This window comes from Homo sapiens, chromosome 8 (genome assembly GCF_000001405.40).
Source record: "Homo sapiens chromosome 8, GRCh38.p14 Primary Assembly".
Taxonomy (NCBI): Eukaryota; Metazoa; Chordata; class Mammalia; order Primates; family Hominidae; genus Homo; species Homo sapiens.
In genome coordinates this window covers 13,547,987-13,564,661 of record NC_000008.11, presented here as the reverse complement: position 1 = coordinate 13,564,661, position 16,675 = coordinate 13,547,987, and the positions used below count along the sequence as shown (strand labels likewise).

General features: G+C 35.6%; 1 protein-coding gene across 2 annotated transcripts in view, besides 2 other annotated features; it reads left to right on the top strand.

Annotated features, from left to right (window-relative positions):
* The window catches only part of DLC1 (DLC1 Rho GTPase activating protein), a 521,260-nt gene that overhangs the window by 39,959 nt on the left and 464,626 nt on the right, over positions 1–16,675 (top strand). The gene's annotated exons all lie outside the window — the stretch shown is intronic.
* Positions 5,823–5,992: an enhancer, noted in NCBI's record as "experimental_101206 CRE fragment used in MPRA reporter constructs". NCBI's record gives its function as "activates a minimal promoter by MPRAs in K562 erythroleukemia cells, with activity observed for the non-introgressed 8:13416264 or rs62492131 variant allele {active_cell/tissue: K562}" and the evidence as "EXISTENCE:reporter gene assay evidence [ECO:0000049][PMID:34662402]".
* Position 5,907: a transcriptional cis regulatory region, noted in NCBI's record as "Neanderthal adaptively introgressed variant 8:13416264 (GRCh37/hg19 assembly coordinates) or rs62492131 in the experimental_101206 CRE". NCBI's record gives its function as "modulates activity of the experimental_101206 enhancer by MPRAs in K562 erythroleukemia cells {active_cell/tissue: K562}" and the evidence as "EXISTENCE:reporter gene assay evidence [ECO:0000049][PMID:34662402]".

Sequence of the window (16,675 nt, the reverse complement as noted above, 5' to 3'; positions counted from 1 at the left end):
TTTCCTATGGAGGGAGAAAAGCAAACTTTCAGCATCTGTCACTCTGGCAAGCAATTCTCCCCCCAGATATCATAAACGTTTCCATGATGAGTTGGCATTTGGCAGGTACCTCTTCCTGGTGGTGTGCAGTGTACAAAGTGGGAGTCTAGTTTAAGTATAAGAGAGACTACGATGACAGAGCCTTCAAAAATATTCTACCCTTTACATCAACTTCTCAAGTAACGCTGTGCTTGGTTCTGTAGATGCAGCAAGATGAAATGTTTAGCTGTTCTCCTAGGGGGCTAAGTTGAATGTGACAAGAATCTCACTGTAATGGCCATTTTTGTGAAGGAAAGAATCGTATATCACTCAAGATGAAAAATGATTTTATTTATAGTTGTTCAATTTTTTTGTGGTTCAGTACTTGTTCTTTATCTGTAAAATGTTTTTACCTCACAATTATCTCCATCTTTCTATTCTGTTTTCTGCATCTTTGGTGTTATTATCTTTTTTCTGAAATTGATTAATTGCCTTGTGAATAGCTGCCTTCTACTTTAATAGCTATTTTTTTGCAAAAGTAATAATATAGGTTTACTGCAGATTTTTAAAAAAGAAAATGATAAGCCACAAATACTGATTTTAAGCAAAAGCTACCTATATTCTGACTTCCCAAAGATAATTACTATAAACATTGATAAAGTGTTGTAATATTTTTCTTGAATTTCTTAATTAAAATCTAGATTATACTGAATTTTGGTTTTATGAACAATTTTTTCCAGTTAGTAATAAAATGAACCTTTCCATTCATTGTAAAAATTATTTTCAACATAATTTTAAAGGTGGTTTTGCATTATTTGATTCGTTTAACAAATACATTCAGATGCAAGGTATTTCTAGTTTTTTTGCTATGAAAAATTATTCCTTTAGCTAAATCTTTACATACATTTCTAGCTATATGTTTAGGATAAATTCCAGAAATCATAATTCGTGGGTCAAAATGTATGCACATTTTTAATGCTTTTGAGATCTGTTTCTCCTCTATAGATTAAATTGACAGATCCTTCAAAAATATTCTACCCTTTACACCAATTCTGCAAGTGTCACTGTGCAAGGTTCTGTGAATCAAGCAAGTCTCTTCTCCTAAGAGACTAAGTTAAAGATGCCAGGAATCTCGCTGTGAGGAGCTGATTCTTTCTGGAGGAAAGAATCTTACATCACTCATGATTTTTTAAAAATTATTTTAATTTATAGTTTCTGTACATCATTTTTTCTAGGATATAATGTTCTTTTGTCCATAAATACTTTGTTTTATATCTCTTACAAGTTAGGCCTTTTTAAAAACAGCCACATTGTGACCACATCTAGCAAGTGACGATAAATCCTTAATATCATCTAATAATTATTCTGTGTTCAAATTTATCTGACTGCCTCAAGAATGCCTTTTTGCAAGTTGAAGTGTTAGAATCAGGATCCAAACAAGGTCCACTGACTGCATTTGGCTAACGTAGTCCTCAAAGGTTTTACTTCCTAACACTTCCGAAGTACAAATAATTTTTATAAATGAAAAAGTAAAAAGGAGCAGGAAGAGAAGTTTAGTTTTCTTCTCTGTTCTTGCCATTACGTTCCCTATAGATAATCATAATTTTAGAGTTTTCGATTATCTTTCAAAAATGTTTTGAAAATATAAATACGTCTCTCATACATGTGTTCCTCTCTTGTTATAAAAACACATTGACATACTCTACACATTGCTTTATGGCGTTTTTTTTTTGTTTTTTTCTTAAAAATATATTCTAGATACCACTTTACAACAGCATATAGACATCATTCTCATTTATTTCTAAGATTGCATAGTATTTCATTGTAGAAATGTAATGTATTTTATTCACACATTTTGACGGGCATTTTGCTATTATAAGAAATCAAAATTTGCTTTGTATCTGTGGAGATATATTTTCAAGATGAATTTTAGGAATGAGATTACTATATCAAAGATGAAGACATATGTAGTTTTCTACTTACTTCCAAATCCCCCTCCACAGGCAGTACACATATGACATTTCTGCCAGCAATGTATGGGAGCATCTGTTCCCAAAAGCCTGGCCAGCAGGGTATGTTCTCAAATGTATGGATTCTTGCCAATCTAAAGGATAAGAAATGATATCTCAGCGTAATTTTAAATTGAATTCTTCTTATTAGCAGTAAGAATGAACACCATTTCATGTGCATAAAGGCCACTTACATTTCTTTTTCTTTTTATGTGTACCATATATTCTTTTACCTATTTTTATATAAATTTTGTTTTTTTCTTTTCAATTCTCAAGAGTCACTTCATATGTTGGAAATATTATTTATTTGTCTGTGACTTGGTTCCAAATAGCTCTTCTCAGTTTGTCTATTTGTCTATGCTGTGTTTTGCCATGTAAAAGTTTGATTTTTCTCTCATATATCAAATGTATCAATCTTTTTCCTACTTGCCCTTGGATTGTTTACACTAGTTTTTATTTTATTTTGTTAGTTATTTTTTATTTAAATTGACCCGATTACTTCTTTTAGTGTACAGCTCTGTGAATTTTAACACATATATGGGTTCTGTAACCACCACCAAAATCAAGGTGCAGAATCCCCTGTTCTATCTCCTTTTTTGGCATACCTTCAACCTACCCGTAACTCCTGTCTTTAGTACTTTTTCCATTGATTTTTTTCCTGTGTTTTCCAAATATATAATCATATTATCTATAAGTTAAGATAGCCTCTTGCTTTCTAATTTTTATGTCAGTAATTGCTTTGTCTTTGATATCTAATTTCTTTGACTAATACCTCCAACACATTTTGAACTAGTAGTAGAGTTAATAACCTTACCCATTTTTAAAATTGGATATTTATCTTTGTCTTGGATTTATGAAACATATATAAAATTTATCATAGTTCTGTAATGTTTTGAATTTAAAAATTCAAGCAGTCAGAATTACCTACATGATATAAAATTTCCCTGTAAACTGCTATTATTGCAAAGCTCTGGTAGGTAGATAAGCAGGTAAATGAATAGACAGATGAAGAAATAAATAAATTAATAAAGAACAAACTTTCCAATTAAAGATTTTAAATAAATTTGCCATCTATGTTCCTTCAATATTGCCAGAATATTATTCACTTTACCCAGTTTTGCATTAAAAAAATAAGTTTAAGCAAAATTAAATCCTGCACGTGTAGTGGCTTTTCATTTTTAAATAATTTCTGCTTTAGGAGGATGAAGCAGGAGGATCTTTAAGAATAGGAGTTCAAGACCAGCCTGGGCAACACAGCGAGACCCCTTCCCAAACTTGTTTCTACAAAATGAAAAACTTAGCTAGGTGTGGCTGCAGTTGCACCAGGTGTGGCTGTAGTTGCATGGCTGTAGTTGCTTAGCCAGGTGTGCACCTCTAGTCCTAGCTACTGAGGAGGCTGAGGCAGGAGGATTGCTGGTCAGAAGTACGAGGCTGCAGTGAGCTATGATTGCACCAGTGCACTCCAGCCTGGTTGACAGACAGAGCAATATTTCTGTCTCAAAAAAAAAAAAAGGAAAAACACTTTAAATATACAATATTTATCTAAATGTTAGACAAATTGACTTTCGTGTAGCTGTTGAAATACGAACTAGCACACAAAGTTTGAGCCTAGACATTCCAAATGTCCCCATTTTAACCAACAATTTTTTTAATTAAAAAATATATATATAATCTCAGTGACCTTTTTGTAAAGGATATTATCACTGAAATCAAGGCATCAGTAGGGTTGGTTCCTTCTGAGGGTTGTGAGGGGAGGATCTGTTCCAGGCCTCTCTCCTTGACTGGTAGATGGCTGTCTTCACGTTCTCATGATGTTCTCCCTCCATGCCTGTCTCTGTGCCCAAATTTCCTTTTTCCCTCCCCCCCCACAGGGACACTAGCCATATTAGATTAACACCTATTCAAATGGCTTCATTTCAACCTGATTTTCTCTTTAAAGACTCCATCTCCAAATAAGGCCACATTCTCAGATACTGGAGGTTAGGACTTCAACTTAAGAATGGTGGGGGAGGAGGAGTACAATTTAACCCATGAAGTGTAGTTTGTATGAAAACCAGATTAAAGGCTAATTACACAATCTGCTTTTGGGGTCGACTTTTAGTATGAAAACTGCTGGTGATTTTCTAAGTGAGAAAAATAAAATCGTTAAATAGAGGAACCTACCTGTTCATTAAGAAGTATCTTTATTTTAGGTGAACATCTGTGGGGGCCTTGTGAGTACACGTTATATTCTCTGACCCTATCACAAACCTGTCTGGCCAGCCTGTAGAGTGACTGCTCACATCTCATACTTAAGTAAGAAATTATTTTAAGAAAGTATTAGTTTTATTTGAAAATAAGTGAAAGTTTTTTTTTAGTTCTTTTCAGATTGGTATATTTCAGGATTTTTTAATGTTTTTAAGCATTAGGCAATGATTTCCTACTATTCGATCTGAGTATCCGGTAAAACTCAAAACAAATGTAGGTTCTATATTACTCAGCTATATTCAAAATGAATATGCCCAGTATATTTAAGAGTAGCAAAGCAACTTCACAACAAATAATGTTAAATATGAATTTGAATTGTACCATCTCTTTTGCTACTTTGTCTTGGAAATTGTATGATAACATAATATCTAGGTTTTCTGACGCTAGTCCAATAGATAGCTGCCTTATTTACATTTGTTTTATTGTAGTTCAATTTCAGAATGGTTCTGGGCATCTTTATGCAATTTTATAAAGTTAAGTCCATCAGCCTTTGGGCAGTGCTATTGAACACTGACCTTGGAATCTAGGAAATGAATATAAATGAGATTCTAAATATAATGTGTTTCCTTTCATAGCACAGATGATGTATAAAACGAACACAGAAATGTGCCATTAATTTGAATTTGAGTTACATACTTTTGTGTTTTCCTTGGGTAGAAGGGTCTGTGATTACAGATGACAGAATTGGAATTCACAACGATTTTCCTGAAAACTACTACATAGAATTATTTTTCCACTACTCAGCATCTTTGCAAAGCATTTTATTGTAATTTTTCTACTTACAATGTTAGCTTTCACTATAAAATGAATATTATTATAATTACATAGTGTTGAATGACATGGAAATTGCAAATTATTTTATTTGAGATGAATCTTTCAGTAAAACTATGTTATTAAAGTGTTCAAAGTAAGCATAAAAATATCACCCTGCCCTGGAAAAGAGAGCTAATGTCATAAATGGAGCTCACAGGCTAAACTCATTTTATCTCCTTATTTTAGATAGGCATTTTCCAAAAACAAACTATGTCACTGAAGAATGCAAGACTGTTTCTTTAGAGCCTTCCATGCTTAACTTGAAAGCTGTCAACCCAGGAGGCTGAAACAGAGCTAGATTATGAATCCTGAGTGAATAGCTCATTCTTTGCGCCCATGCTTTTGCTGCATGCTGCCATGTGGTACAAGGCTGAGAGGTATGCACTATGATAGCTAATGAAGCACTTCCTTTATATCGCACTGACCAGAACTCTTACTTGAAGCCCGTATATTATGCCACTGAAATCTCACAATGTGAGCTTTTGTTCTGGCTAGCAGAGGCAGTTGCTTGTCCTTTCTGTAGCTAAATTTCATGCACCAAAGTTGTTAGACCCTTTACTAATATGTGTAGGTCTAAGTCATAAAACCAGCTTCTGCTATGTTTGCAAGAATGTTTTGTTTTGTTTTGTCTGCCTTTTCAATGCAGCATCCCCTAAAGCCAATCATTTGTAATTTTGAGGCCATTGAGAGATAAAAGGCTTGAAGTAAAAGTCATCGGCCCTCCTGAACTCACTCATCTATGTCAAATATAGTGATACAGTTAACATTCTAAGAACAGAGATTGAGAAGAAACTTAATTTAGGATGAAAAGAATGGCATCAGATGGACCAAAATTAATTACACTGTGTAATCCTCGATGTAACTGAGAAATATTCAATGTGACCCATTTGTTATATTTAAACATATTATTATCATAAGGTATTATGTAATTAGGGCCTCCTTTCCTGGACTGTGGTTAGATTTTGTGTCTCATTGCATGCTTTCAGAAAGTGACCTAAAGAACAATACATAGTGATTGTCATAACAATCTATGAAATATAGGCTTCGGTTAACCAAAATGCAAATATCAAATATTTAAAAGTTCCTCAAAACTTATAAATTTTTAAATGAAAAAATTATGAACCACATTCTCAAACTTGAGGTGTATCAAGTCCTTCAGGGAGTCCTCCATGGTTCCTTCCTCTCCCTCATTGAACACATCCCATCAGTCACAAAATACCATAACTACACATCCCCAAACTGGCGGCTTCTCTTCAATCCCTTCTCCAAGCCCTTGGTATCAGTAGCCACCATTTTTCACTGTGTGAAAGCTGATTTTACAAATTGGGTCATTCTTGTAATATTCAGGTAAAACAGAATAGAAGAACCAGGGAGAAAGCACTCAAGACATATAGCACCTGCTCCAAGAATTAAATCTTCCACAAGCCCAGCTGCTGAAACTGCCCATTGGAACATGAAACCAGTTTTTCTCTCATAGCTACTGAAACAACCTGCTATGAGTCTAAGGCCAGTTTTAACCACCACTGTCACTCATGAATCAGAGCTTGCCAGCTCCCCAGAATTTTACTAGTGCCAATGAACTTTCTGGAAAAACAATATGTAACATTTTTCCTTTTAGAAAACCTCCAACCTTCTCCTTGTTCTTTAGACAAAGATCATCTGGTTTGTGTGTATGCCCCGAGTTGCAATTCTTGCTTCCCAAATAAAATTTAGAGATTTGTCTCTAGATTGCATTTAACTTAGACACCTGGATCTAACACACCTATTATTTTAGCTTGTTTTCAGACTGCTATAAAGAGATACCCAAGACTGGGTAATTTTAAAGGAAAGAAGTTTAATTGACTCACAGTTCCACCTGGCTGGGGAGGCCTCAGGAAACTTATAATCATGGCAGAAGGTGAAGGGGTAACAGGCACCTTCTTCACAAGGTGACAGGAGGAAGTAAGTGCGAGAACAAGGAAGTACCACACTTTAAAACCATCAGCTCTCCTGAGAACTCACTATCATAAGAACAGCAAGGGGAAAACCACCCCCATGATCCAATCACGTCCACCTGGAACCTCCCTTGACACATGGGGATTACAATTCAAGATGAGATTTGGGTAGGGACAAAGAGCCAAACCATATCACCTGCCTTCGGGCTGACCTCACAACCTCCAGACTCTTCTCACATCCTTTACTTCCTTTCTTCCACTCAACCTGTTTTCCAAATAATTACCCAGACTGTAACCCCAATGAAGCACAGCTGAGACACTGGCCCTCACGTGTTCCATGTCTGTTGCTGCATCTCACCATTTGGTCTTGTTAGAAACAATTAACTAGTGTGGGTTGGCTTTTTCAGAGTACGAATAAAAAAAAAAGTGAAATGTTCAGGATAACACAGTTTAAAGGTTTTATGTAAAAGCACTTGAGGAAGAAGGTGAAAGGAAATTGATTAAGCCACTGAAATTCCCTAGAAATAGAATAACATTCAGAGTTCCCCAGCAGCTTTCCCCTGTCTCATACTCAGTTATCCTCGCTCACTTCTCACCCTTCAGACCCCTGAATATGCATATGACAATTACTACATTATAAATAAATTCACAGTTGTATAATAAATTGCTAACTGTCTGTCATAACTGATAGACTTTCAGCCCCACCAGGGCTGGAAAAAGTCTGTCTTCTCCACTAAGCTATGTGTCTTGCAAGTATCAGACTGTCAGCAAATTGTGAAAATAATAAATGAATTAAATAATGCATTTGATAGTCTAGCAATAGATCTGGCTACTCAGCAGCGTCTCTGACAGCATCCACTTTAGAAATAAGCATATGTTTTTCCCACTTTCGCACTGTGTATCACTGTGATGCAGGTCCTTAAAGCAATTGACCAGCTAGGTCTCATTCAGAAAAGAGCAGTCCTGTCAGGCGCCCAGCCTATGTCTGTATCAGGCCCTACTACTTGGTACATTGTCTGTCCTGAGAAGCAGCATCATTTGGTCCATGCTTATGACCTCTGCCCAGAATCTCTTGAAAAGGAGACCACAGGAAGCAGGCATCATGAAGGAGTCTTCAGAAGAGGCAGTGTACCAGGAAGGCACCTTGTCTGGACCCCCTGCCGGGTATTCAAATTTTGCTATACATTAGAATCACTTGTCAAAACCCCAGTGGCCAGATGAATCCCAATAAGTTTTAAATCAGAATTTTTGGAAGTCAGACGCAGACATCAATATTTTCTAGGATTGCCAGGTGATTCCAGCATGTAGCCAAGTTACAGATGCCACACTCTAGGATTTTGTGACTAGTGCTCCAGGACCAGGGACATTGGCATCTGCTGGGAGTGTTTTAGGAGGGCAAAATCATAGCTCTGTCCCAGATCTATGAAATCAGAATTTGCATCATAAAGCAAATCCCTTGTGTAGAGTTGTCTGAGCTCCTTATACATTCTGATAATCAATCCTCATTGATTGCTGTGCATGTTGAGGTGTGAGAAGCACTGCCCTAGCACAGAGAGCAGTATCACACCATTAACTTACTCCTGGCCATTTTCTTTCTCTTTTGTCCTTCTCTCTTCCACCTGTCTCTTCACTCTATATACCAGCCATCTAGAACTCCAATTACCTGAAATGCAACCTCTTTCTTTCTTAGTAAAGTGCTGTTAGTATTACAAAACCTTTAAACATTTAGAAAGTTCAGGGGAAAATGTGATGAAACCCTATGTATGCACCATTAATATGTAACAAAAATAAACTTACTATCATTGAGTCCTTTCTTATTTAAAAAAAAAAATGCTACAAGGCCAGGCCCGGTGTCTCATGCCTGTAATCCTAGCACTTTGGGAGGCCAAGCGGAGAGGATCACTTGAGGCCAGGAGTTTGAGACCAGCCTGGCCAACATGGTGAAATCCTGTCTCTAATAAAAATACAAAAAAAAAAAAATAATAGCTAGGCATGGTGGCGGGCACCTGTAGTCTCAGCTACTTGGGAGGCAGAGGCAGGAGAATCGCTTGTACCCAGGAGGAGGAGATTGCAGTGAGCCGAGATCATACCACTGCCCTCCAGCCTGGGCAACAGAGTGAGACTCCGTCTCAAAAAAATAAAAAATTTAAAAAAATTAAAAAGCTACAAACATAAAATGAAAGCCACCTATTCATTTCTGTCTAATTTCACTCTGTTCCTCCACAAACGTGTCCATTATCCTGAAGTTGCTATGGCTATCTTGTCTTTTCCACCATTTTTCTTCCATTTGAAATACCTTATTAAAAAAAAAACATACAAGAAAGGCTGTCCTCATGGAGGTTATAATCTGGTGTGTCAGCAGATAACAAGCACAGTGAGTAAATAATTTACACTAGAAGATGGTATGTGATATGTAGAAAAATAAGCAGCAGAGAGTTCAATGGAGTTCTGAGGAGCATTGTCATTTTAAATTCAGTGGTCAAGGAAAGTGTGTCTGAAGAGTTTACATTTAAACAAAGGAGTGAAGGAAGTAAAGGAATGAATCATGAGGTTATCGAGCAAAAGTGTTACAGACTAAGAGAACAGCCAATGAGAAGAGCAAGTGTTACAAGACTGAGAGAACAGAAAGAGACGTGCTTAACATGTTTAAAGAAAAGCAAAGATGCTTTGTGGGTGGGAGCAGATTAATGGAAGTGGAGGTTAATAGCAGAGAATGAGTGAAAACCCAATCATGTAGGGCCTTGCAGGCAGTTGTAAGATCTTTGGAGTTTTCTTTGAATAAAATCAATAACTATTAGAATATTTGAGCAGACATCTTAACAGATATCTCTGGCTGCTGTGATAGACTTCAGATTGTGAGTGGGGAGGTGGAATGAGAACCAGAGCATAAAGGCAGAAGCAAAAGTCCAAGCAAGAGATCAGGTTCTTGAACCAGACTGGTAGCAGTAGAGGTGGTAAGAAAGGACCATATTTCAGAGACATTTTGAAGTTTCAGGGTGAAAGATTTCTTAGAGGGTTTGGGAATGAGGTGTGAGAAAAAGAAAAGTTAAGGATGAGAAACTGAAAGGATTGAGTCACCATGAGTGGAAATAGAAAATAATTCAAGAAAAACAGTTGGAGGGAAAACCTGGAAGTGTAGCTTTTGGAAATTTTACCTCTGAGATGGCTTTTAAACACCGAAGTGGAGATGTAAAACAGGTATTTCAGTACATAAGTCTGACACCAAGGGGAGGAACCTAGAAGGCACTATAGGAGTTTGAAAGTGATAAGCATATAGCCAGATGCAGTGGCTCACGCGCGTAATCCCAGCATTTTGGGAGGCTGAGGCAGCCAGATCACTTGAGGTCAGAAGTTCAAGACCAGCCTGCCAACAGGGCGAAACCCCATCTCTACTAAAAGTACAAAAATTAGCAGGGTGTGTTGGCGGGCCTCTGTAATTCCAGCTACTCGGGAGGCTGAGGCAGGAGAATGGCGTGAACTCAGGAGGCAGAGGTTGCAGTGAGTGGAGATTGTGCCATTGCACTCCAACCTGGGCCACAGAGTGAGACTCTGTCTCAAAAAAACAAAACAAGCAAACAAAAAGTGATGAGCATATAGCCATGGGAGGAAATGACAAGAGAAGTGTTTACAGATTATTAGAAAAACAAGAAGTCCCGAATACTAATGACAAGGGGGCAGGGATGTTAGAAAGATCAAGCAAAGGGCGCAGACAAAGAGTAGCAAGGGAGACATAAGAAAAATATTTTGAGGAGAAGGAAGTGTTCAAATATATCAAATGTCCTCGAGTAAGATAAGGGCTAAGAATTAACTATTAGAATTTTTAATGCGGAGGACTTGGGTGACCTTGACAAGAATCGTTTTGAAGGTGTAGGGATCAAAGACTGATGGGCATTTGTTCTAAAGAGAATCAGAAGACAGAAAATGAAGACAATAAATGTAGAGAACTCTTTTAAAAATTTTGCCATGAAGGGGGACAGAAAAATGGAGAGGCTGAGAGCAGTGGCTCATGCCTGCAATCCAAGCACTTTGGGAGGCTGAAGGTGAGAGGACTGTCAGAGCCCAGGAGTTTGAGACCAGCTTGAGCAACATAGTGAGACTCTGTCTCCACAAGTTTATTTTTAATTTAAAAATTAAAAACCGGGAAGAAAATGGAAAAATAGCTGGAGAAGCAAGTGTAATCAAGAGAGGATTGTGTTAATATAAGAAAAAAACATTATGCTGGTATGCTGATGAGAAACTCAGTGAAATGAAGATGAAACAGGATGAAAAATACAGAAGTGATACTCTACAACACATGAGAGAGAAAGGGATATAGTACATGCATGGAGAAATTGGCCTTATATAGGAGCACAGAAAGTTCATCTAAAACAGTAAGAAGAAAGGTGATACATATATATATATATATATATATACATATATATATATATATATATATATGACAGCTGGCAGGTATTTGTCAATATAATGACTTATAAATGTTACTTTATTGATAATTAGCAATCAATAGCACACTAGTGACCAATGCTGTCAAGGTTTAGGTGTGTTTGCAGTCTCTGTGTGTTGATAACTATTGCATTAATGAAACTAATATTTTGTAAGCTGAAGTAACAAGCTTTTAGTATAATATTCCTATTCCTAATTCTGTGATTAACCAATGAAAGCTAAATTTCTTCCAAACATACTGCTTTTCCATAAAATTAAATAATTTCTTCTAATGTACCAAATAAGAAGCTTCATTGTGAAATACATATTAATGCTCTCTAGAAAAGATTTAGTTTATGTGTTTTCTGTGATCATTTTCTTTCACTTAGACTTTGTACTTTCTTTTAATAAGAGAATATGACAATACATGTGAGTTTTTCAAAAAATAAAAAAATACAAAGTTCAGTCTCATTTTCTTGCATTTAAAAAATATGACAAAACCCTTTAAAAAACATTTTCCTGTAGTAATTTTGTTGTTGCTTTTCTCTTATTCCATTGTTAATATTCTCAGAAATTAATACTCTATGAACACATTTCTAGTACATAGTATAGAACAGTGGTCTTTAATTAGTCATTTATATAACTGCCCAACAGAACTTTGGAAAAATATATATTCACTCATGTTTTTAAGGTTACAGCTGATACTTCTATCATAAGATTAAATAGTTGGGAATGATAGAATTTCTAGTTTTTTATTGTATATATATTTTTATTTATTTTCATCAAAATATTGAATCTGAAAATTTAGCTTATTCAATTTATTAAAACTTTGTCCATAAATAATTTACTGGCAAATCCAATTTTCATTATTAACCAATCAGTCAGATCCAATAAACATGCTAATATGCTTCCTTTAGAATTATTTCACTTCCAAGTTCTACCTTGTATATAGGTATATATGTAGACAGGTATGGGGGTATATATATATATATCTGTCTAGACAGGTATATATATACACCTCTAGACAGGTATATATATACACCTCTAGACAGATATATATATGTACCTCTAGACAGATATATATATATATATATATATATATATATACACCTCTAGACAGGTACATACATATATATAGAGAGAAAGAGGTATATATATATATGTGTATATATATATATACACACACACATATATATATACACACACATATATATGCACACACACACATATATATACACACACACACATATACATATACACCTGTCTAGAGGTACATATATATACCTATATACTGTCTAGAGGTACATATATATATATATATGTATATATACCTGTCTATATATATATATATACACACACTTGTCTAGAGGTGCATATATATACCTGTCATACACATATATACCTGTCTAGATATATACCTAGATATAGATACATATATGTTTGATAGATACATATGTTTGATATAGAAACATATGTTTGATAGATATAACTACATATGTTTGATAGATACATATGTTTGCCTTGCCAAAAGTTTTTCATCTAGATAAAATAAGATGTCTCACCTTCAATCATTTCATACTGAACCTCTCTTTGATTTGTTCTCAAAGGACCTTAACATGCCTTATGCAGCACTCCAGAAGTTTTATAGTTGAGAGCAATGCACCTTAGTAACACTGCAGATGAATGAGAGATTATTTGTTAAGTGGGGAAAATGCTATTGTGAAAGAGGTTGGAGGGAAAGAGAGAGTAATCCTTCACCCATGATCAACCCATAGACTCGTTCTTAGGCAAATTAGTTTTAGGAAACAGAGATATGGAAATTCATAATAAAAATTCAAAATCTAGAACTAGATCCCTTAAAACTGTCTGAACCCACATATATCTGGAAAATTTTTATGTACTCCCAGAGATATGTGTGCACATACTGAAGACTGTGATTTAGAACAATGCATGCTAGATTGAACATCTAAAAGCTACATTCTTTGTTTTGGCCGACTACAACTGACTTTTCTGTGTAAATCATTTAACTCACCAAGTATTAATTATAGTTTTGCAAAGTAAGGGATTTTGGCTAAGGTAATATTTTCCAAAGAGTTTTCAAATGAATATTCCTCACAAAGTGTTCTTTGGAAAAAAAAAAAAAGTGTGTGTGTGTGTGTGTGTGTGTGTGTTTAAAGAAATCTGAGGAGTGCTGTTAAATGTGCTTTTTGTGGAAAGTAAAATACACATTGGTAGAGTAAACTCACTGAGAATTCTTGCAAGAGAAAAACATATTTAACTTCATTTAACCCATTGATTTCTAGGCTATTTGACCATACATGATTATTCTTTTTTAATCGTAGCTAATAGCACCATTAAGGGCTACTGTTCTAAGGAAGATACTTCAAGAATCTGAGCCAGAGTTTTCTGAGACTCTTTCTAGCCATACAGCTCCGTGATTTAATATGGAACATGTAGCTTGATTCCAGTAGTAACTGCAGTAACTGGTCTTCTTAAATGATTCGTCCATTCAGCAGTGTTTAAGCTTTAATTAAAGATAACACAAGCTGCTCTGGAAAGAGCTAAAATAATATACATAATGATATTTTGTTTTAAGATTCTATTATTTTATTTCTTTTCTACTTATACAAAATGCTCCTGCAGAAAACCATATGCCTCCGTATATATTTCTTTACTATGGGGTATGAGTGAGACTTACCTTCCTTTTGACTTTTAAAATTCGAATTGCCTGTATATAGCTCAAGAAGACCATGCAAAAATTCTGTATTAGTCTTCTCACATTGCTACAAAGATACTATTAAGACTGGGTAATTCATAAAGAAGAGAAGTACAATTGACTTACAGTTCCTCATGGCTGGGGAGGCCTCAGGAAACTTACAATTATGACAGAAGACAAAGGGGAAGCAAGGACCTTCTTCACATGGCAGCAGGGGAGAGAAGCACAGTGTGAGCAGAGAAAAAAACTGCCATTTTTAAAACCATCAGATCTTTCGAGACTCCCTCCCTATCACAAGCACAGCATGGGGGAACTGCCCCCCATAATCCAATCACCTCCCCTCAGGTTCCTCCCTTGACAATGAGCATTACAGTTCAAGATGAGATTTGGGTGGGGACAAAGAGCCAAACCATATCAATGTCTCTCTAGCCTATTGTAAGGATAGTTGCCTGTTTCTCAGACTAGAGTCTGGGAGTCTCAAGGATGAAGATACTTCACTGATTTCTTCAATTTCAGTACCTGCCTTTCACATATAAGCACAACAAATATTTCCTAAATGAATTTAACTGTTTCTGCCTATTCACGTGTAGTTTGTAAACAAGCCGGAGAGCCACTTTTGAAAACAGTGGAAAGGATAGAAATAAAGGGTAACATGTTGCTAGACCATCTCTTTAAGCTCTAGAATTTTCATGTGATCCTTGAAAATCCAAATGCATGACATGCCTGAGCCACTTTTGTCTTTTTTGGCAGTAACACCCTCAGAGTTCTTCTGGAGATTAGTTTAGCATGACCTTCCAATTCTGAAGCCAGGCAGGCCTATTTCAATCAACCTGTTCTTTTCCAGATGTTTTTTCTACCACATCCTTTAACAGGGTTTAAAAATTTAATTCCTCTGCTCTTTAATGTATCAGCTTTTTTTGGATTCGTTGTGTCACATACATGAGTTATGTTATGTGTGTTAGTTACACAGCAATGTTTCTGTGTCATCTCACTGGGGTATTTCATGAAAATGTGGAAGCACAGATGGTGAAAATGTAATTGGAGGGTTGAAGCAGTTAAATTTGCTTACCTTATCTAGAGCTTTATAGAGTGTTTTGAAATACTTTTCAACTCAAATGGAAGTGCTTTCTAATACAGCTTGTAGTTTTCCTTGGGATAATGAGCTCCTAAAGAAAATACTTTTTTTAAAGTATTAAGTTTCTTTTCATACAATTGTTTTACTTGCCATTCACTGATTTCTTCTATTACTCATGGACGTATCACCTCGCTAAGACTGATTATTCAGCAGTGAATACTGCCTCCTAACTGACTTGAGCAACCTGATTTAATTTCTACTTAAGATGTTATTTCCTTCCTGTGTTTTCACTGCTAATTTTTGCCAGCCCCAGAGTAAGAAAATAAGTCATCTGTAGGTGGAGACTCATTTCCTGACTTTTAATATAGTTGGTCAGTTATGGCTAAATGTAATGGAAGGAAAAATGTTTAAAAATAAGATAAATGTCTTATATTTTATAAATTGAGGGGACAAAGTACAAAAGAGAGAAGAATCCTTTCACTGAAATTCAGTGATTATAATTGATCTTCCACTGAATTCATGCCAACATTTTTCTGGAGCCCAGAGCAGTATTTTCTAAAAAGAGAAATTCTGTTGTCAGAAATGTAAGTGATCTTCCCTATGGCTCAGCTAAGAAATTAATCAACAATAATACCAACCCAAATAAGCTTGATTTTGTTTCTTTACTGGCTATCTTGATGTTTATTAACAGGTGGTCTTAGAGATATATCTCTATGTTATCAAAAAGAGGTGTGCTCTTAAGTTACGATGTCAATTAAATCCGTAGAATTGCCAAATCCATATGAGAGCTGATCAGGGTAAGGACAGTCTCCTAAAGTCTATTAAAGGTCCCACCTCTTAACAACGTAGTGGCAATTAAATTTTAGCATAATTTTCAGACATTCAAACCATAGAAATATTCCTTGTAGCTTTATTCATTTATTTAAAAATTATTATTGTTATTTATCATCTGCATACCTACTTCACTATTGCAGACCCATGGCATATCTCTCCAAATTCCACCTCTGTTTCACCTCCTGAAACTAATTCATTAATTCAATTTAATACTGGGGTGTGTAGTACACAGCAATGAACAAGATATAAACCAAAAGATAAATATCGGTCAAGTTTGTGAGCGTTACAAATGGACAATATCCAAGTACATAATGCCATAGAAACATGTAACATTCAGCTAACCTAGTGAGGTGTAGGGTCGGGTAGGCGTGGGATTGTTAACTTTAACTTGAAGAACTAACAATAGGAACAACAAGATATTGAACTTTTACTATGTGCTAGAACAAACATACTAAATTCTTACTATGTTCTCGGCATTAGGCACTATATATTCCTTCAACAACGTAACTCTTGCATTCAAATAACTCAGGGTTTGAAAAGAGATTCTGATAGATACAGAGATAATTACAATATTTTAAGTGCTATTTTTAAATTCATGCATGTAGAA